We start from the raw sequence: 23,404 nt of genomic DNA, 5'->3' as shown, positions 1-23,404 counted from the left end.
AAAGCATCAAATATAAAACATGTCAATCACTATTTCAAATGCATGGTCTAATTTGATATTGTGTGGGTGGGTCAATCATTATGCCTTTCAAATGAAAATGAATACATACATATTGAATGAACTTAATTCAAAGTAATAGATGGATATTAACTGTGTCCTACATTGCAAAAAACATACTGGCCCTAAAAAAAAAGGCTTACAACTATACATACTCACCAAGATACAGAAAAGAATCATTTTCTAAAATTAGAGCTAGTGTTAAAGATTAAATTATTATTTTAATAGTGAAATCAAAATTGAAAGAAAACACCCAGTTTTAATTATTTTTGCCAATAAGTTTTTGGGTCCTGATTCAAGTTTACTGATTTCTATGAATCTTATTTTTAACATAATATTTCTATCCAAGTCTAAGTTCGATATAAACTAAGTTTACCTTTTACTTGTTCACTTTGTTATAATGTAATGATTAAAAGTACAGGCTCTAAAATAAGACTGCTTGGGTTTGAAACATGTCTCCATAACTTGTCTTTGTACAAATTACCTTAGTTCTTCATGCCTCAGTTTTCTCCTCTATAAAATAAGGTAACTAATAGTATCTACCTCATAGGATTGGTGAGAGGATTAAATGTATTGCTATAAGACAAGCACTTGGAACAGTGCCTGGTGCACAGTAAATGTTTCATATTTTCTAGTTTTTTTTTAACTTCAAAGTAAAAGGTGAGTATGAAGTCACTGTACAATTAGTTAGATTTTGAAATGAATAGAATAAATCATGTATCTCTTCCCTTTTTTTTTTTTTTTTTTTTTTTTTTGAGACAGAGTCTTGCTCTGTCGCCCAGGCTGGAGTGCAGTGGTGAAATCTTAGCTCACTGCAACTTCCGCCTCCCGGGTTGAAGCAATTCTTGTGCCTCAGCCTCCCGAGTAGCTGGGATTACAGGTGCTCGCCACCATGCCCGGCTAATTTTTGTATTTTTAGTAGAGACAGGGTTTCACCATGTTGGCCAGGATGGTCTTGAACTCCTGACCTCAGGTGATCCACCCGCCTTGGCCTCCCAAAGTGCTGGGATTACAGGCATGAGCCACTACTCCTGGCCTCCCTTGTTTTTAAGTAGGATTGAGTTTAAGCTCAAAGTAGAAAAATAATTGTCTTTTCCAATTAAAAATAGATTCTAAAGAGAAGTAGTGAGTGTTCTATCTAAGATTTTTTTTTCAGCAGCATCTTAATACTTTTAAAGTGACTGTTACTTAATAGAGAATTCATTATCCTCAATGTTTCTCAAATACATTTTTGCAAACCTTTATTTTCTCCATAGCTCAGGTTTTAGAAACATCTTAAGGTCTCTGAACCAGCAATTATATCTAAGATTCCAGACCTACTAGTCATTGCATCACATATTCTTTTATATGTACTACAGAATGTCTATATGATTAACACTAAATATATACTCCCAACTGAATCCCAATTCTGAAATCTTACCTTATGTCTCAAACCATATGAAGTAAAAGAAGACAATGATCAGGCATGAAAGGAAAACATTCTTTAAATGAAATACCTCTAAACTGTACCATTATGGAAAAGTCTTTTGAAATGGCATTAACTCTCCACAAATAAACCATGCATTTTCTAGACATTAACACTGATAATCTTAAACTCCAACTTAGCACAACTGGCTAAGTAAATGTGTCTAGCAGTTGTTGAAAATTATGGCATGGGATTTTGCATAAAGACTTAATTTCAAAAGGGTGCTTCTACTCTTAAATTCTCATGCAATTTCTAGATTTGTAGACTTCAGTAATTCAACTTTGGCAAATATGTTATCACATATAAATAGCTTCTCTCTTCCCTATCATATGTGTATGAGTCTTTGTGTGCATGTATGTGTATATACATATATTTCTTAATGCACACATATATGTACACGTACAAATAATCATCTAGCATACATACATACGTGTGTATGTGTATGTATATATGTATATATGTACACATATATTCCATTAGCAGCTCTTCTCAACTTACTGAGTTCTCTTTAAATTCTAAAGTTTAGGATGTCAGTATACTGATATTTTGTCAGAGGGAAATAGCAGGAAAAAAATGATGATTTGCAAGATTGGGGTCAGCCAGGTAGAAGACTCCCCCAAAATACTATAATTTTTAAGACTTTGGGAAATAGGTTTTCTCTGGTTCCAAAGATGTCTACCTTTTCTGAGACAGAGTCTTGCTTTGTTGCCAACCAGGCTGGAATGCTGTGGTATGATTTCAGCTCACTGCAACCTCTGACTCTCTGGTTCAAGCAATTCTCCTGCCTCAACCTCCTGAGTAGCTGGGATTACAGGCACGTGCCACCATGCCCAGCTTATTTTTGTAGTTTTAGTAGAGATGGAGTTTGGCCATGTTGACCAGGATGATCTCGAGCTCCTGACCTCGTGATCCACCCACCTCAGCCTCCCAAAGTGCTGGGATTACAGGCGTGAGCTACCTCGCCCAGCCAGATGTCTACCTTTTCTTTCAGGAGGTTGAGACTCAAACCAACTCAGTGAGATATGTGTTGCATATTTTAATAACCCCTTTTCATTGAGGAAGAAGCAGTCTGGGGAATGGTTAAGAAAGATACTCAAGATCACTGTGTAAGTAGTGAGACCATTCTTTTTACTCTAAATTTAATTCTTAGAATATTAGAACTAGGTGTGACCTTGGAGAACATCTAATTCACATCCCATATTTTCTATCAGCCTCTCTGGAAAGCACGTTTCTAAGTGTTTCTGGTGGTCTGAAGGTGTGGAAAGTGGCATAGCCTGTTGACTTAAGTTAGACCACACTGGTGGTCACTCATACCCTTTAATGTATGCAAATAAAATAGTCAGGATACCAGGGTTGGAGATGCTTGACATTTCCCACTCTCAAAATCAATCACTGATCTGAACACCATGGCTATTACTCAGAGATTCAGAGGTTTGCTGTAAGCAGAGACCATGACCTTGGAACAATTATTTTCTCAAAAGGCATTACCAACAATGATGTGAGCAAAGTGCCCAGACTGCCCTCCAGTGCACAAATCCCTGGCCAGGAAATGGCTACGAATCTTCCATGAGTATGATGAGTTTGGCTTAAATCTCATTTCAATGCATTTATATTTCATAAGCACTGCATTTAGACAAACTTAAAATGAGCAAGTCAAAGAAAATACTCACTTAAAGATTTTCTGTGCTCTGGTTTCTGTTCTTTTATATCACTGTCGTAGTGACTTAGCAATTCAGTGCTAGAGGATCTTTGGATTTTGAATAATTCCAGGTTTCTTGATGGACAACTTGAATCCTTTGGCTGGAAACAGCAAATAATTAGACTGAATAATTTTACTAGAAAGAAAGGATTCACCATAGAATTTTGTGTTCAATTTTGCTGTTTATGGGGAAATTTGAAGTAAGGTAATTATTTGAGGATAGGTCCTCTATGCTAAGCTCAATACTCTAATAATAGTTTATATATGTATATGATGGTACTTACTAAATGCTAAGCACTATTCATGCATTAGTTCAATTAATCATTACAACAATTCTATAGAGTAGGTGGTATTATTATTATCCTTATTTTCCTCATTAAGAAAATGAGGCCAAAATAGGCAAGTAATTTGCCTAAGGCCACACAGGTAACAAATGATAGAACTAGAATTCAAACTCTAGCAGTCTGGTTCCAGAGTCCATCCTCAATGGCAACAAACTGTGTGTATGTATGTATGTGCACTCACACACATTCACACACACACCCCTTTAAGGGGAATATACTAATAACAGGAAAAAGTAAATTTGTTATTTTACTTTTTAAAGTGTTAATCCCAAAATGGTATAATGAAAGCTTGCAATTAAGTATCAAGAAAATCACACAGAAAATCTTTTACTATTGTGTTGTATTCCGTATTAAGAATATTTCTTCCCAAAATTTTGCAAATATTAGTGTCATAAAATTAAATGTTTGTTCTAGAGACTCAGCATGGAATGAGTGGTTTTAAATAAGTTCATTCTTAGAAAACATACTCTGAATGTATGTTTTAGGATAATTTCATGAAGTTCTAGATATGTAATTTTCATAAGAAGAACAATCTAGCTTAGCTGGAAGAATAATAAAAATCAGTACAAAGGGTTATTATTTATTTATTGGTATTATAACAGTGAGTCTTAAATATGTTATTTATTTACAGGAGTATGTAGTATGGACTGCATAAACTGAAAATGAAAAAAAAATCAGTAGTTATTAAGTGCTTGTGTGCTTTTTACAGCCTCCAGTAAATGAATGTCTATGTTATTTCAGAAAAAAAGAAAGAATGCACTATATTTTTGAAAGAGAGAAATTAAACGACAGTTCTACAAATCCTGTCTGCTGAAAAGGTTTTTAGTAGATTCTATTTAAACTAAAAGAACTTAATCCCTCTCAGTCCATAGGATCTATTTAAATGAGTGTGTGTGTTATATGCCTGAGCAATAAGATTTAAATGACTACATTTTAATTAATAAAGGTAACAGCCAAAACAAATACATACCAATCTGTCAATTGCATTTTTGATAGCGTGGAACCAATCCAATATGATGAAGTCAATATCTGACTGTAGAAGGAACTCATTTCCTGATACTGTTGTGATCTGCAAAAAAAAAAAAAAGAAAAAGAAATAGACAGGTAAAGAAACTATGTAAGATAGATCTCTTACATGTAAAAATCCTTTTTTAAAAAACACAGTTTAATAAAATGAAATATTTTCTTGTATTCCAGTAATTGTCTTTCTGGGAACTGGGAGCATTTTGAACCGCTCTCTATAAACTGTTTTTCACGTCATAACAAATACATTATTGTTTTAATAATAGAACGATTAAGTCAGAGTAGGGCTAGAGCTGAATTACTCCAACTTAAGGAGAAACAAGCCAGGAAGTTCAGAGAACTGCAGACAGTACACACTTAAGTCAGAACCCGCAGAAAAATGCACCCGGGTGTGTCAGAATTCATTCTGCACGTTTGCCTCTTTCCTGTCTGTCTTTTTCAAATCTAATAGTATCTCTATATTTGATTTCCTTTTATGGAGAGCTCTAAAACAGTTTATTTACCAAAAACACTAATTGCAGACTTCCAAAAGTTCATTGAAATGAATAACATTTGACTATTTCTACTTTCTTATCAGAGATCTATAGGAAAGTAATAAAAAAACCAATTTCCCCACAAAAGGAGTATATTAAAATAAAAGTTCATTTACATATTTGAACCTCTCTGGGAGAGTATTTATCAAATGAACATTCAGGTTCCTGACTCTCAGACTGCTAAGTAGTTGGCAATATTTAGCGTGTAACTGTCCATTTTTCATTACAGTGAATCTTTTTCTCCCCAGACTTGTGAGAAAAGGATACGACCCTACAGAAACAGAGCAATACTCTTAGTTTCACACATAACGGGCAACTTAGAGAAAAAATTGATTAGAGTGGGTGTGGACATGCTTTTTGTATTTGGCCATCAATCTGAACTGTGAAGATTTTCCCTTTGTATTATTGACTTTTCCTTGCAACTGGAAGATGAACATTTCCCAACTACTGTCACACAGAGTTCAGGGGTTTAGAGGACTGACATTTCAAAATACTCAATCAGGAGCCAGTCACCTCTTCTCAGCCTTCCTTGCTCTAAACAGGAGGTGAACGCTGAAATGTGGCACAGGTTCAGAAAATCACAAATCACGCTTTAGGCCATCTCTATAATTCTATCATTAAAGTGACAATTACTACCCCAAATGGCTCATTCTGAAGGTTTCAAGGATTCTCATGGCAACATTTAATGACAATGATTTTGGGGTTTTGAAAGAAATCTGTTACATATGTGCATATATATTCATTTGTCATTTGTTTTTAGAAAAACTCTATAGAGATTCAATATTAATCAGTACTGCAAAGTAACCATTCTTGATTGAGATGGGTTCCAATATCAAATGTTGTCTCTATAACTGTGAGAAGAACTGTCTAAAGTGTATACAATTATAAGAAGTGAAAGATTTAAAAATAAAAAGATTTAATTGCCCACACTAGAATTTGACAGATTACTGAGGCCAATCAGTCTTTCTCTCTCTTTTTAAAATGAAACTGCATATAAGATTTAGGATGGCTCAAAACAGCCTCCTATTTTATGTATCCAGTAAAAGACAGCTCAGGTGATGTTTGCCTAATTATCTGAACACCATTGCAATGTTCTCTACTCAGATAAAGTTCCAAATATTTACTTTATAGAGTGTTGCCTAAGAAATAGTAATCTAAAAATATAAGGTCATTTCTAACACAAGAAAACTAGTAATGTCCTAGACCTCTACCTTCATCCTAATCTGTAGTGAAATATTTTGATTATGAATGTATTTCTAACATCATAATTTGTTAACATACACAAAGACAAATGAATTAGCCAAAGCACAATGTACAATGTAATGTTTCTCTGCCAGTATAAATAAACCATTATTAAAATTATAAAAAGAAACATTTAAGAAGTACGAGAAACAAACATAATTAGATTTGCTATATTATGAGGGTTTACGAAAGAGCCAACATAGTTCAGCTTGCAGTCTAGTAAATTCAAACAGTGATAAAATATAAGTACTTTAGCAGTGCGTTTGCATTTTTGGTGCATGCTATGCAATGCAAAGGGGATCTTATATTGCTAACACAACCAAAAGCAAAATGTATTTTAAAAGTTCCTTTGTCCAAATATATTACTGCATTAATCATACATAATCAGTGATTTACGAATTCATTTTGAGAAGCTAGATCAGAGAGCTATATGAATGCAATTCATTCAAAACATACTATCAGAGAGATGCAGTTCACATCCTTTCCTCTGTCTTCCCACTAATCTTTCGAGTTACCAGGCAGTCTGGAGAAGTCTGCTACTGCTCTCTACAGTTTAAATGCATCCACTTCTTAATTACAGTCAGTAATTGACTTTGTTCTGCTCTATTCCAGTCACTCACAGGAAAGTAGTTTCAAAATCTTTGACTGGTAAAGCCCATTTAATTCAGGTTCCTCAACCCGCTTTTTTATTTTACCTCTTTAGGATTTCTGATAAATGGTTTGCTGAATCATATTTGCACTTTGAACAATCGAATTTCCAACACTCTTGGGGAAAAAAGACATCAGTAAAGAATGTTAGCTCTGACTAAATCTTTTGATTGAACAACTTATGATGACAATCTAAAATGATGTATAACAGACATAAAGGCTTTGATATTAAGCCGTGCTAATGTACTCTTTCTATATGTTTTGCCTCCGTGACAGATGCTGGGGTAAGGGGATGAAGGAAGAACTTATAGACAACATAACAGGTTTAGATAAGAGCTGCTGGTCTCCATCTTGCTTAGAAACCTAATTTAGGCAAATGTTTCTTGAAATCCCTCATTACCACACCAGGTCGTATTTTGAAGGAATATATCAGGGCACCAAAGTAACCTTAATGAAGTGTGCAGTGTCAATAATGCATATCTTTAAGTATCCATCTGGGGAAATTTGTCTTGAACTTTTTCATACTAAATAAGGGTCCATCTGAATTCTTGCTGGTAAGAAATTTATGCCCAGGAAATTATAGAAGCGTGTCCACTGAGCAACATGCAGAGTGGGCACATTCCTTAAGGCTTTTGGGAATTAATTCAACAATAGTTTTCACGTGGGCTTAGAATAGTCTGTGTCCTTGGTACGGTTCCTCTTAATATGGAGGCAGGTAGATGCAAGTCCAGACTTCACTGATGAAGAGCGAAGAAATTTGCGTTTTAGATTTTAATTAAATGGAGCTTTACTATGCTAATTTAAAACATCTTAAAAGAGTTTTAAGAAGTAGTGTTTATGTTGATTTAAGTATTGTTCTTTTAAATATTGTCAATTAAGTAACACTCTCATCAATATTCATTCTGGCAGTAAGATTTTATGCTATTAGATTTTTTAATTTAAATGAGAAATTAATGTGTAGAATGGCATTTATACCATTATAAATTTCCATACTTTTGTTTACTAGAATATAAACAAAACCTTTTTTAGAACTTCTTTTTTCTAAGAATAATACTTCATTGTGTAGAATTTGGGAAAAATAAAGATAAAGAATCAAAATTATGCATAGCTACACAAAGTAAACATTGTAGGTATTTTAATTTCATTATTGCCAATCTTTTATAAATAATAACCAAACAGAAATAATGATCAATGTTATAGATAGATACACCTCATCAGCAAAACATATTTGATGGTAAAATATTACCAGCTTCCAACTGACTTCAGATGCACATGGGGAGATTACCAAAGATGTAAGAGATAATGAGTGACATGGTGCTACCCTGTTTGAGAGCCCCACCCTTCTGATTGCAGAATAAATCCCACAAATAATTTCATGTACAGAAGAATAGAGAGGATGCGTTCATGACAGAACATCCTACTAATCATTAACAATGACTGATTAAGCATCCATTAAGTACAAGGCACATTGCTAGAAGCTAGGGATACACAGCCCCCACCCTCAAGAACTCACAATCTGTTTGGATAAATAGGACATATGCATATACAGATAAATAACAATAGAAAATGGCTCATACTGAGTCCCAATGTGAGCAGCACACACAATGCTCATGTCAAGATTTCAGAGGAAGGAGTAGTTACTGCAGGCACATTTACATCATGAAAGTATGCATAAACTGGTGGTCATGATACGTTATTCTTTAAACGTTGATTGTATCAGAACTTCAGTATATTAAGGATATGAATACCACCACTTGGTATGCAAAGTGATATCAGCTTTAATGATCTCAAAGCACATAATAAACATTCTCCAAATGCAGCTTTCCTCCACTATCATAAAGTAATTTTGCAAATGAAGAAAATGAAGCAAATGAGGAAAATGAGAATGCCATTCTATCAAATTGGCATCATTTTAAATGATAGAATTAAGAGATTACAAAGATCTTGATTTCTAGTTCACTAGTTCTCAGCAAACAGTTGTATACAGTCAAGGACTGTGTGTTTGAACAGGAAAAGGGCCGTGATAATTTGGTTTCAGTTATGAAATTTGGAATAGCAACTTTAGACAAAGTTGCTTCTTTCCTTGCAGTTAGGCTAAAGATAGCCCGATTTTAAAAGATCATGCAAAATCCTAGCTCTGATTTTTCTTTCCAAAAACAAGCACTCTCTTGCTATGAAAAAATATATCTAAGACTGAATTGGGTTATCTACAACTCCTTCAAATCCTAGAAAGGACTAAAGCAATCCTACACTTGAACAAATACCTTTCGCATTTTGATTAGAACCTAAGGAGGGATTATTCCATTTTAGTGAAACTGAAATAGTATGCAGGAAATGCATAATAAAATATGCCAAATATCCAAAGAGCCCTAAAACATGTTAAATAATATGGCTACAGTGGTTCTAGAGAGACATAAATAAGAGGAATGGAATTTAATTGCTATTATGTTTAGAGAGACTTTGGACTTCATGATATAATTTTTATATTTGAGTTAAATTAAGTAAAAATAAAAAGTTATATCAACATACACTAACTTTATTTGAAGTGAATATGAATTATTTTTGTGATAGTAATTTTGTCCATATCTGTATTCAGTACTCCCAGCAGAAAATATACACATGATAGGGAGATATCAAGACCTAAAATCGAAGTAATAATGCTTACAAAACCCACACAGATTCACATTTTTTTCATCTTGCATCACTCCACATATAGCTGATCAAATGAAGGTTGTCATGGTTATACTAATAGCTAAATTACTTGGTCTCAAAGGTGTTTATGACCACCAAAGAAATTACACTATCAGGCTGAATGTCTGTCTCAAATTACAGTCTGGTTTGAGTAATTCCTAACATTTCTCTTAACATGTTGAGCAAAGTTAAAATAAAACTAAGGGTAAAATATCAGTTAGATGTAAAAGGTCTTCAATTTGCCTTTCCAAAAATGTTACTTGTTAAAGCATTTTGTGAGAAAGTATCTGCCTTGTGTTCCCAATGTTGCTAGATGTTAAGTAAATATATGCTGATTACAAAAAAAAAAAAAAAAGTTACTTTGGCAACTCTCTTATTAAAATGCATTTGTAATCCCCATCTGTCATGAAAGTTTTGAAAAGTTTGTTTACTTTGGATAGCAGCCTTATCCAGGGTTACCCTAGCAAACAATGATAGCAGTCTTCAAAAGTTGTATGAGGAACAAGCCACTAGGGATCCATTTTTGTTTTAATTGGCACACACAAACACTTTTCTGGTCTGTCAAGAAGATCAAGCTAATATGCATGGAGGGTGTTATATTCTCAGCTTTGGGGAGCAGTAAAGCTCCCTTTATTTAAGTAATTTAAATGATAGACTGCAAAAACTTTGCAAGTCAGAAAAATGTTTTATACTTTCTTAGGGAATATTTGTTTTAAGCAACGGAAAATGTTCTACATATCTAAAGATGTTGAACCTTATGTTATAATTACTCTGTTTCTTCTGACTCCGTGAAATGTTCCTAAATCCACATGCTACTAAATAAGCCAGGCCACCAATGGATCTCAGCATTTCCACAACTCCCCCTATGTTAACAAATGTGCGTTCATTAGTTTCCAGACGCTTATTGGATATGTTTTCAATGTGTTTGGGGTTGATTGATTTGCATGTACATTTATTGGAACCCTCAGTGGTGTCATCATATCAAAATAACCTGCCCATGTAAGCAATTTCTTATTTAATGGAAAGTAAACAATGTCGGGTTACGTACATGACAGACCTCCAGTACATTCCAAAATCTAAGGTTTAAGGCCAACCTTTCAAGAAACAATGCTTTTTAAGTGAAATTGAGCTGTACTTTGACACCCAAATAATTTTGTCCATGCATTCGTACAACAGAGATTTGTTCTGCATAATAAAATTGTCCCTGTAGTGAACATTCACACCCCATATTACTTGCCCACTCTAACTTTCTGTTTATTAACAAATATCTAAACCCAAAATTTATTTCAAACAAGCAAAAAAAAAAAAAAAACCCTCATGTTCATTCTTTTTATTGTGTTAAAATATTTTAAGTACTGAGAAACAGTCTTCTCAATATTCATGAAAGAATACTATCCAAGTAATTAGTAGATAGTTTAGCAATTTCCACAGTTTTGCAGCAGCCACACCAAAACTTTTGCCTGTGGTGCTCATATGAAAAACGACTCAAAAAGAGACTAATCAAAGCAGTTGGTGTATAAAGATATCAACTTAGACTTTTATTGCTCTTAATTTTTAAACTGGGGGGGTGTACTTGTCTGTAGATAAATGAATCATCCTGGGATTTGTCACCAGTCACTCCCTGCCAACCACAGATCACCTTCTTGCCTGAGCTATATTCACTGTGTTCAATTACTCATTTAGTCACAGTCACATGACACTTGGGAATCTGCTGCCCCCATTGTTTTCAAATTGGTATTATTTTTATTATTACTGTCCTTATGTAGGTAATGCTCAATTTTAAAAGTTTTAATAAATTCAAATTAACAAACATAGAATCTCCCTTCCTTCAAGATACACTGACTTGTTGTCTCTTTCTACATACCTTTTTGACCCACGAGGAAACATTATGTATGTTTACAGTTTAATGAAAATATCATGTATATTATTATGAAAATTTTTGTGCCTTTTACTATATATACTACCATCATCTCTCATGAGAATTTAGTCATAATATCCTTTGCTTTCCTCACTGTCTCATCCATGTTTTTCCTTCAAGTCCATACTATATATTGCAGCCAAAGTGATCCCTCTGAAACTTGGATATGATCATCCCATTCTTCTGCTTGATATCATTCTGAGGCTCCCCACAGCTGTTGCAGTGCAGTGCAAACTCTTTAATTTGGCATGCCAGCCCCTGTGTGCTCTGGCACTGACCCACTCTGCACTTCCGCTGCTCCACATTTTCCTCTGCATTTCCACAATCCAGCCATACTGATTTTTTTGGTTCCCCAGCTGTCCCATACTTTAGAGCAGGTTGTTCCTGCTGCCTAGACCCCTTTGACATCCTCTGTCATATCATTCAAATCATTTGAGATGTCACCTTTTCAGTAAAGGCTTCTTTGAAATAGATATTCCCCCAAGTGCGCTCATAACATCCTGCTTCTCCTTTATCTTAGCACAAACTGGTTTATGTTGCAATGCCTTGTTGGTCTTTCCATTCCCCCCACTATGCTATAATAATCCTGAGGCCAATGACAATTGTCTACATGCATGGCTGAACAACAGACACATAAGGAACACTAAGAAAATAATCAATAGACAAACCTTATCTACTTTATTCATTTTGGTGAATGCATTATATTGCATTGTTTGATATGCCATAATATATTTAACTCATTCTCTATTGTCATAAAATTTTGAAGGCTGCAATACAATTGCATTCTTTCAGGTAATATAAGTAATGTAATACTGACGTCTACTGAAAACACTTCATAAGAGTAGAGTAGGCAAACTATTTTGAAGATTGATAATGGCAGTCTGAAGGCTATATTTTCCCAGCAGTCAGCAAGTCCTAGACATCAGACAATAGGATTAAACTTGGAAGGGCTGGGAAGCACAAGAGTCATATTTCAATGCATATCTCTAAAATAGAACGTTCTTGATTATATTCCAAAGCCACCCAAGTATTTTACAGGGATCATCTATACTAGATCATCTAAGAATCTCACCCTAAATATAGGCTTTGGTAATTGGGAGTTGACAGTATGGGAACTGGAACATAAGTTCAAAATTTTAAAGAGCTAATACTTAGGTTAATGGGTCAAGTCTTTAGAGAAACTCAGTGATGCAAAGATGCTCATTGCTGTCCATCAGCATTGTAGCAATTTTACAAGAACACTGTTAATATTAATAAATAAGCAAACTGTGGGAGGAGGTAGTAGTTACGTTGTTAATTTTATTTAGAAGTATTAGCTAACTTTATGATACAGTGACTTAAGCAGAAGTAGGTATTGTTGCCACTAGTCTCCTATTAATAAGTACTGAGAGTGTACAACAAGAATAAAAGATGTTACAGTATGTATCTTTATGCTATTGTAACATATTTGGCCATGATTATGAGTGTTTATAAAACATTCAAGAATTGTTCCATGTCTGCTTACATTAATGAGAACACCTGTTAGCTTTAGTGCTGTACAGACTTATTTGCATTAGATTCAGGTTTTCACATACTTTACCTCACTTTTTGAAACAATTAGATGCTTATAGAGAAATATAGCTAAGTAAAAAACAGCAACTTGAATGCCTTCCGGCTCAAGACAATTCAACTCCAGGTTTCAGTGAAAAACAAAAATCTGCTCAATTACAATACTGCCACTTAGAAGTGAATGTAGGTGTATTTCATAATTTTACATTCAGAGAACAGAAGATACATATGAAAATCTGTGCTTTAATCTTCAAGTTAAATTATAGCCAAATGAGGCAGTTTCCAGACAAGGATGCCAACAAATAAGGAATGGTGATGCCACCACAACATAGATTCTCTGTGATCTTGGGGACTCGCTACCCAAAGTTGGTCTCTTTACTGATTTCCAGAAGCTGGATGACTCTAGCTGGTCTTCTGACTGAGTGAGGAAATCTGCAGATGCTTGCCCACCTTGTGTTGTTTCCGACACTTTGCCAAAGAGACCTTTCTATGTGATGACAGAGCTGAAAGGAGCAAAGCAGCTGAGGACTCTCTCTGAGTCAGTCATTTCTGGGCTACGGTTCGCAGCATAGCCAGAACATACCAACCTAGGAAATGCACCGCAGTTCCCTTACAGAAGCCCATGACTCTGACTTATTCATTACTCACAACTTCTGTAGGTCTCACTCTATTGACACATCTGTCTGCTACTTCTCTTAGGATGCTAAAGCTTCTGGGATTTAAATATTTTCAGTTATTGAAAAAGGGAACACTTGAGCAAATCTAAGGATTCACAGCCTCTATTATCATCATTATATTTAAGAGGTGCAATATTTACATAAAAATAACTCAGGTGGTGATATAGTCTAAAGATAAATGAGTATTTGTGATCAGAAGAAGTGTGATTTATAACTATTTTCTCAGACATAAACAGTGCCCCTCTGTACTACACTAGTAAACACAGATTAGCCCAGGCACACACACATATGAACTATTCCCACATGATTCCTGATACTCTGTCCTGGGAAATAGCAGAACTAGGAATGGCCCTTGCAGAGTGTGTGGCTCACAAGAAAGAACGGTATCTATTTCCTTCTCTGCTGTCAAGTTATATACTTTGGGGAGAGGAACAAATATTAGGTGGAGATTTGGAAATTAACCAGTGAATTCTTTTTTATAGAATCCAAACTGCATAATTCAAGAAGTAAGTGTAATACTACAAACTTACTTTTGGTGTCTCATAATTTTGAAATTGTGTTTAACCAAGAGCTTGACAATCTAGATTTTGCTCTCCATGAAAGAGCATGATCATTCATTAGGAATGAAACTAACTATCTATGTAATTAAGATGTTCATGAATGAGTAGTAATGCTTCTTTTTCCATGAATGAGAGGCTTAAATAAATTGAAAATGTTGAAAATTTTCTTCTGAGAATGTGGAAAAATTGTAATTCTGCTGTTTGGAGAACATTCCTAACTGTTTACTCAAAAGGGTTATCTTTAAACCAAACATGAAAAAGCATCTGACATTTCTAAAACTATAGTTAGTGGTTTACAAAACATATAGTACATATGTACATGTAATATGTTCATATATATATCACTATATATGATATATAGGTATATCACATATAGTGACATATGATGTAGTGATACGTATCATATATGTACATACATACTATAAAGTTATATATAATATGTAATATAGTACATGTGTACATATGTGTTCTATTTCTCTCTATATATAAAGAGAGCACAACAGAAAAATAGAGATAATTTAATGGTATTTTTATTAAAATAAACCACCTGTGACTCTATAATAGACAATGACATCTGTCAATTGAGCAACAGGCCACCCACCTAATAAGGAGACATCTGGAATGACATATCACTCCATGCCAAATGTGTGCAAAAATATCTTAACACTCCTTACTCCCCAAAACAAAATGACATTTGTATTGAAATGTTACCACTTAAAGATGCTAGACTTTTAAAAAATGTATTGGTAGCACTATCAGTAGGGTGACTATATAATTTATTGTTGAAACTATGATAATGCTGAAGGCAAAAGGCACTGTTAATAACACACCAGGACAACTGGTATAAACCAGGCCTATTTTGTGTCTCTGGGACATATGGATCACTAGCCAACACACACAATACTGAGAGTCATTTAATAACCATTTAGGTGCCTAGTGAATACCTGTCATTGGTCCAATTCTAAGAACTGTGAGGTATACAAAAAAGTTAGCAGTGACCCTTCCTCTTAAGAAGCTTCTAATCTAGTGTGAGAAAAGACCAGCATGTGAAAACATTAGAAACAACAATTACATAAGGATTCAAGATGGGACACATAATGGTTTTCAATGAAAGAAATCAAACTTTCCTTGAGGGTATAATGGAGGACCCAGGGATGAATGTTGGAGAAGGATCCTAAAAGGATGGATGAGATTTAGTAGAAGAAAAGGCAGGGTAAGAGGACAACACAGGTGAAAGGAAAAGCTTGTACAAAGATTCAGAGGAAGGAAAGTATACAGCATCTCTAAAGGACATGAAGAAGCTGTCCCTATGCCCTCTCTGTGGAATCTTTTCCCTTCACTCATCCCTTAAATGGTGGTGTTACCAAACATTTTCCTGTAAGACATGATTCTTCTCCCTTACAGACACGCTCCAGAATTATATTACCATTTCTCATTTTTTTAAAAAAAATTAGATTTGTAAAACTAATAGATCCCTAATGTGTAACTCTATTGCAATTCGGACCAATGTGACTTCTGGTCTGACCTCCTTAATGACAGATGGTATAGTTACAATCCATTCTTTACATCCACTCATCAGTAAACTCCTAAGTTGACTGACATCAACTTTGTCCTTGGAGATCTTTGTAAGTCTGATTCTCACATTCACTAGGACCTAAAAGAATCAGACCCTGGAGATAGGGCCTAGTAGTCTGTCTGTTTACAGAGCTCCACGAGTGATTTGAAAATTATGCTGTATTGGAGTCTGCTGCTCTAGACCATAGAAAGATGATCTACCTAAATCCATATCTGTCACATGCCACTTAAAAGCCACTGAATGGATTCCTTTTATCCCAAGGATAAAACCTCAATTATTTAATGTATGTTGCAAAACATTTCATAATTTCTCTGTCTCTAACCTTTTCAATTCCTCTACTTATTAACTGCATAACTTTGAACAATTTATTTAAAATTTTTGTGTTTCTATATTCTCACCTATAACCTGAGAAAAACAATAATACCTACATCATAGGACCATTATAAGGGCTACATAAAATACAATCCAGGAGAAGAACTTAACATAATACCTGGTACATACTTAGCACTTAAAATATTATGTTATTATTTGATTTCACTTATTGACTGATTCATTGATTGTCTCCTGGACTTTGCAAACTCCACCTCTTCATTCAGGAAACTACTCAGACACTGCCTATTCCGGAAAGTCCTTTATAACATCTAGAGGTCAAAAAAGAGGTATCCCTCCAGCAGTTTGTACTAACTTCATAATGGTGTGCATCTCACTACTGTACACATCCAGTGTCTTGACCTTTCTACACATTAAGCTCCCTGACCACAAAACCACATGTCCCTGCATTCAGCCAAGTATCTGGAATAGCACCAGCTCTCAATAAAGGGGTATAGAATGAATGATAGCTCAATTGGCTTAGGTTAATACTAAAGGGTTTTGGTATCCACATAATGAAAGGCTTATGAAATGTAGAAAACAGATTTTATTTGGTATACTAGTAAAGAGGAAAGCAATGATTAGTCACTGAGAACCTGTATTAGTGAGCTATTCCACAGTGTCACAGTGGGGAAGACATCCTCTTAAAGCTGGCTCTATATTGCAACTTCCATAACTGTCAACATACCACTGCCTTCTAAGGTTGTATCAATGCATCTATCTGAAAAGATGATACACCATCTTGGTAAGAAGAATACCTCTTCCATGGGCCCCTGGGGTTTCTCCAGCTCTTTCTGGTTCCTGATCTTTTCCTCTTTTACACAACTCAACAGATGCTTCTCTGCTTTCAATGTTAGATGCTCCACCTTGAGATGCTTGGTATTTGAATAAAGACCTTTGCTATAACCCAAAGTGACTTGACGTGATCTCAGGCCTTGAGAGTTGAGAATGCACAGTCTTGGATATCCTGTCTTTGCCAAAGCTCATTTCTGTAGCTGTATCCTCTTCTTGCTTCCGGCTTGTGGTTCCCTATTCTGGTGGTTTATCTCACATACCAGACTCTCTCGGCTGGTAGTGTCCTTTTGCCAGGCCCCCTTTTAGGAACTGGGGCTCTGCAGAGCATCTCCCTGATCCTCATTGCACCTCACTGAGTTCTTTAAATCCACCTTCCATCTGCCTCACCCATCTGAATTGTTACACATGTAATCAAGAAATAATCCATACTTGCGTTCAAGGCACCATAGTTATAAGAATATCTGAAAATGAGTCATGTCAGTGTATTCAGCAATCATCCAATGGTCTTTAAAATATCCTTGTTATTTCTGGTTGGAACTCACACCCTAACAGCCTGAACTGAATTTTGTTATCTTACTTTTTGGGTTCTGTATTCTGTCCAGAAGACACACTTCCTTCCAATATTATCAGCTCAAACTTTTCCATAGTAGTTGTCCCAACTATAGTTTTTTGCCTGCTTCATCAAGATGGTTCCATTGCCATTAACTTGTTTTTTCATGATCTCAAACAATAATCCCAATCCCTGAATAAATGATATCTAAAGATCATCAGTATAGTAAGTTTCTCCCTCAATTTCTGAGGCTTACTATCAACTATTGTGCCATTTATCATTCTCTAGTATCCTGGGGAGTAGGACATTAAGGAGGACATTTTTCTATCATGAGAACCAGTATTGGGTTTGTAATCTGCTACCCTTGAGGCTCACAGCATTGGATTCATATTTCACTGAGTTTCATCCACAACATTTTCTTTAAAAGTTTGTGGCTTAATTAGATGAGACTTATATGCAGCTTGTTAATTTACCTGAATGCAGGTGGAGGAGGCACTAAGGGAAGAACGTATTCCAAATTTAAAGAAGCCACTGTCCTGGAGGTATAATCTGGTGATGGCTTTCAAACATTTTTGTTCATGAAACATGTTAAGAAGTAATCATTGCCAATCAGTACCTCTTTCTTGCTCTCTCTCCCCCCCTTTCTCTTTCTCTCACACTCTCTCTCTTTCTGTCATCTAGGTATCTTTCTACACATAAATTCATCTATTATTCAATGTATAATAATGAAACACACACATATATATATATATATATATATATATATATATATACACCATGTGCATATGTTCATTTATATATGTATATATATCATATAATTGAAACAAAAGTTTTATTTAATAATACCTCCCTTTACTATATGTGATGTAATATATCTTCTATCCTGGTTTCTTTTTTTCTTTAATTGATTTCATTTAAAAATGCTGGTCCCAACTCACTAAATTGATTCTGTGACCCACTAAAGGATCACAGAATTTGCAATTTGAAAAACTCTGGCCTAGGGAGTAATGAAGATGTGATCTTCATGCCCTGTTCCTTGATGTGCTCTCTTTCTCTTTTCCTCCCTCTTTCTCTCCCAGTCCCTTTGTCCCTCCTTCCCTTCCCCTTCTTTTCTCTTCCCACCCTGCACCCTCCCTGCCTCTCTGTTTATAAGATGCTTCAAAATATCTTCATATGTAATTTAACAGTTGGATATTTAAACCTAGGAAAAACTTCCAGCATATTTGTCACGTTTGTGACTATTAGGCCTGGGTGATCAATAACCCTGTGTGGGTGATTCTGCACTAAGTCCTTTCCTGCCATTTGAAAGTAGAATTATCATGTGGTTCTTCAGAATTTGGCTTAGACTCTAGGTTTTCTAAATATACCTTAAAGCAAGAGTTCCTTTATAAAAGAAGAAACAAAGATGGGGCAATGTGCTGTTTGGAATACATCTGAGATACCTCACCATGATCTGGAGAGGGAAAAACCAAAGAAGTTAAAAGCCTGGCAAACTATCAGAGACAGAGATGGCAGCTATTTGTTTTCAAGTCCCTTGTATTGAAACAATGAGTGCACTCCACGTTGCATCCTGCAGCACCATGATACAAGATCTGGGAGTAGTTACTAGCATGTGTCTGTGTGATGGGAGCGAAAGCTAAACATTTTAATAGTGTTATGGCCTCTCCTTCTTAAATTCCCATTAATGCAAATATAGCACATGTGGTTTAAGTCCCAAGAGCCTTGTAGGACACAAATCACAGATGTGGAATAAACATTATCAGAGAATAAGACTCCATGGTCTTCTTGCCATCAACACATGCCTTTATGCTCCCATGACATCAGGCAGATACCTGATAGGATATCTTAAGCAAAATCACAAAAAGTCAGGGTCATCGAAGGGCCCAGGATGGCAAGATTCTAAGCGGACTCCAAAGACTTCTTGGTAAATTACCGCAGAGGCTTCAGCTACATCAAGGCTTTCAGAGAACACTTACCACAATGATAATTAAATATAGTAAAAATTACTCATCCTTCCTGCACCAAAATTACCAGAGACTTATGCTATGTGAGGAGTAGAGTGTTTTTGTAATGTAACCCAGATGATGTGATGGCACAAGGCCTATGAAACAGAGCTGGTGTACTTCAGATACACAATACAATTCCCCCAGCTATCTCAATTCTTCTGTGCTGCCTTCAAGACTACAATTCAAGGTGCTTGCTGCTCTAAGATTGCTCTCTTTTCTTTTTCCATCTTCTGTTCATCCCTTTCTTTCCCCATGTCATTATTTTCCAAAATTTGCAGGCTCAAAAAAATGAGTAAATTGAGTCTCCTCCACCTAGCCCATTATCATTGCTGTGTTCTAAAACTGCCACTACATTTGAGAAACTTGGGTAAATGCCTATGTATTGGTGAACTGCATTTCCCCACATTGTCCGTAAGTGAGACTTCAGTAACCGTATCCTGACCTGACCTTAAAACTTATATCGGCAGTACTGTCAATTGCCATGTAGTGTGATTCTGGGAGCCTTAAGAAGCCTCTTTGGATGACAAACTAATTCCCTAAACCTGCCGTCTAAGGTCTGGAATTTTAATTAAGTTATTCCTTTAGATGAAGCCTTTAAAACAATTAAGTGAAAGGATGATATTTTTCTATACATTTTCAATGATATTGCTGTTTTGTTTAGATATTGCTGTTACTTTTCTTAGGAAAATATATTAAAGCAAACTATTTCTGAATATAAATGCATACTCGAAGACTTAAAATATGCAAAACCAGAAATGTATAAAAACTAAAAACACTTCTAATCATAGTACTCAAAATATCCCTCTTAGTATTTAATGTATTTTCCTTCAGACTCTTTAATACATATGTTATGTTTATATACATATATATGTGTTTGTATATATATATATAGGTCATACATAGGTCAAATTAAATATACAATATCGTATCTTATTATTTTTTTTAACATATCATGAAGGCTTTTCCATGGCATTATTCTTTGAAAGCATCTGTTTAATGACTTCCTAACATTTTGTTATAGAGATTTACTTTAATAAATTGAAGTGTCTTCCTATTTTTCCACAATTTAGTTAAATAAACCCACGCTGCATAAGCATGACTTTTTGTTAAGATTTCTGATTTGTTTTTCTTAGAAGAGATTGTTAGAAATAGAATTACTAGGTCAAATAAAAGAATTTTGAAAGGCTGCTGAAATGCATTACTAATCATTTTCTAGAAAGTTTGTTCCAAGTTGTATTATCTCACCAAAATTTAAAGCATAAGCCCATTTCAATTCATATTTTCTCTGAAGTAACACATTATATACTTTGTGAATTTTATAAGAAACTCCTTTTTTCTTAGGCTTGCATTTCTTTTATAATTAGGCATTTGTGGTTTTTTTTTCTTAGAATTTCTTACTAATGTGCTTACACATTTTTAAGTTTTAGTATTTTTAAGATTGGAATGCAGTTTTAAGGAAGTTTATTAAATTTTGGTGACAATTACCACATAAATTTTCCCCAATTTATTTTGAATGGCACTTTTAATGAAATTATTTTTGTTTCTTGGTATTCAAAGGAGCTTGATTCCAGGGCTGCTGTGAATACCACAATTTGCACATACTTGAGTCCCACCATTAGCCCAAAGCAAATCTTCGATACAAGAAGTCAGCCATCAATATCAGGTGTTTCATATTCTGTGAATACTGCTCTTTCCCTCTGCACTCTTGGTTGCAGATGTGGAAACATCAGATACAGAGAGACCCCTGTATTTATTGGGAAAAAAACCCCTCTCATATTAATGGGCCCCTGCAATTCAAATCCACATTGTTCATGGGACAACCTTATTTACATATAAATGTGTTATTTTTAATTTTTCCATTGTAAGCTTTAGGTATTACTTCTTTGTAATTTTTCCAATTTATATTTTAATTCTTAGAAATCATCTGAAGGACCCTAAATCTTTTATGTGAACTTTAAATATTTCTTCTCTTCCTCCAGAAGATCCTATTGGGAATTTGATAAGATTGTATATTATATCTATATTAATTTGGGACGAACAAAAAATTTAAAACTAGTAAGACTTCCACCTCAGAAAAGAAAGTATGTCTCACTATTGCAAGGTTTTATTTATATCTCTTAGTAAATTTTGACAGTTTCATTTGAATATTTACACTTAGCCTTAGGTATTTGAAATGGAATTTTGAGAGAGGCCTGGAGAAGAACTTGAGGACAACAGGTGTCTCAGCAAAAGAGAAACTACAACTCCAAGAAAGGAAAGGCTCAGCACAAGTAGATGGGGAGAATTTTTCTATCACATCATTTACCACGGGGCTGTCCTGATGACTCCAGTGAGGCCACTATCCCTTTATCCTCTTCCTGTTGTTGGGCCTGTAGCATGTGTTTCTCACAGGACACAGTCTCTGCAATTGACTCTAAGCTAACAGGTGCTACTAGGGTACTAATCCAAAGCCATGCAAATTTTCTGACAATAAAAAATAGTATTATTGTACCCAAAATATACTATTCCTATTAGTTTGAGTTTCTTGTTCTACAGATGATGGCAGGTGAAACCCTACTCCATCAGCAGTTGCAGAAACTTTCATCCAATTGTGGATCCAGGTTTTTACCTTTATCCAAAAATTGGTTTCTCAAGTTACTATAAACTCTTCATAAACAATCTTTTTAGTAGTCATGTAATATTATGACATTTGGATATATCATATGGCATTCTCAATTTTTGGACTATGGCTTAAATTTCTTTTACATCTTTATAATGTCTAACAAAATGAAAGCCTATAACTTTGAGTGCAGAAGCAGAACATAAAAGTAGCAGAACAGCAAGAGACAGTATCGCTCAAGTTGAAACATATGGGCTTGGCAGATACCACTTTGGTCATATCTGTGCCCGTCATTCACAAGCTCAGTCCTGCACAAGTCATTTCACTACTTGGTGCTTCTGTCTCACCTGTAGAGATTAAAAAGGGTAGCCACTGCATAAGAATGTGGCAACAATTAAATGCAATCCATGAAAACCCTGTGGCAAAGTACCTAGTAAAGAGTATCTAATTATCCATATTAAGTACAGACAAGTACAGAACAAGGTGTATCTGAAACCACCCCTCTCATTTTACTTCCCCCAGATGCTCTTCTCCTAGTGCATTTTGTGAAATAAGAGAAACTCTTCAAAAGAATGGCAGGAGAAAGAAGAAAGTATGTGTAACCGTTCACACCTATGCATAAGCATGTGTGGTATATCTCCATAATGCACAGGTGTGATCATCAGGCACAGATAAATTACAAAATGCAATTAGAAAATGTGACAAGTAATGAGCATATTATTGTAGGCTGCAGCAATTAAATCCTATGTAGAAGGGGATAAAGAGACCTGACTTAAGACCCCCCGAGACCCAGGTTGAATCTTTCTGCTTACTCAGGCACTACATTCTCCAATACCTCTTAGACCAACTTTTTCAAAGAAGTTTTCACCTCAATGGCAACTTCTAAGAAGCAAAAAAGGAAAGGAGCACCTCAACCACAGAGACTTCGCAGAATCCCTATTAGAGTGAAAACGCCTGCCAGAATCCCTGAAAAGCGAATTGGTAGTCCTGACCCCCATCCCAAGAGGGGTTAGAGGTGAGACAGTATGCTGAGAGAAATCTGTTGCCTGATCCTAAGCTTCTGGTGGAGTGGTGTTGGGGGCGTGGGGGCGTGGGGGCGTGGGG

At 35.3% G+C, this 23,404-nt stretch overlaps 1 protein-coding gene across 13 annotated transcripts in view; it reads right to left on the bottom strand.

Annotated features, from left to right (window-relative positions):
- The window catches only part of ARHGAP15 (Rho GTPase activating protein 15), a 638,934-nt gene that overhangs the window by 328,118 nt on the left and 287,412 nt on the right, over positions 1-23,404 (bottom strand). For 11 of the 13 annotated variants that reach the window (XR_007078554.1, NM_018460.4, XM_017004500.3 and 8 more), the window contains 2 exons: positions 4,536-4,634; positions 3,193-3,322 (listed from right to left, as the gene is read on the bottom strand). Coding sequence is in view for 12 of the 13 variants with exons in the window: in NM_018460.4 (NP_060930.3) it covers positions 3,193-3,322; positions 4,536-4,634 (229 nt within the window). In the remaining variant the exon portion in view is untranslated. Of the gene's footprint in view, positions 1-3,192; positions 3,323-4,535; positions 4,635-4,945; positions 5,040-5,237; positions 5,387-23,404 lie in introns of those variants that run through there. The other 2 variants (XM_047445110.1, XM_024453000.2) reach the window with 2 other exon arrangements.

Source organism: Homo sapiens, chromosome 2 (genome assembly GCF_000001405.40).
Source record: "Homo sapiens chromosome 2, GRCh38.p14 Primary Assembly".
Lineage (NCBI taxonomy): Eukaryota > Metazoa > Chordata > Mammalia > Primates > Hominidae > Homo > Homo sapiens.
The sequence above is the reverse complement of the archived record's forward strand: the minus strand, read 5'-3'. Positions and strand labels throughout refer to the sequence as shown.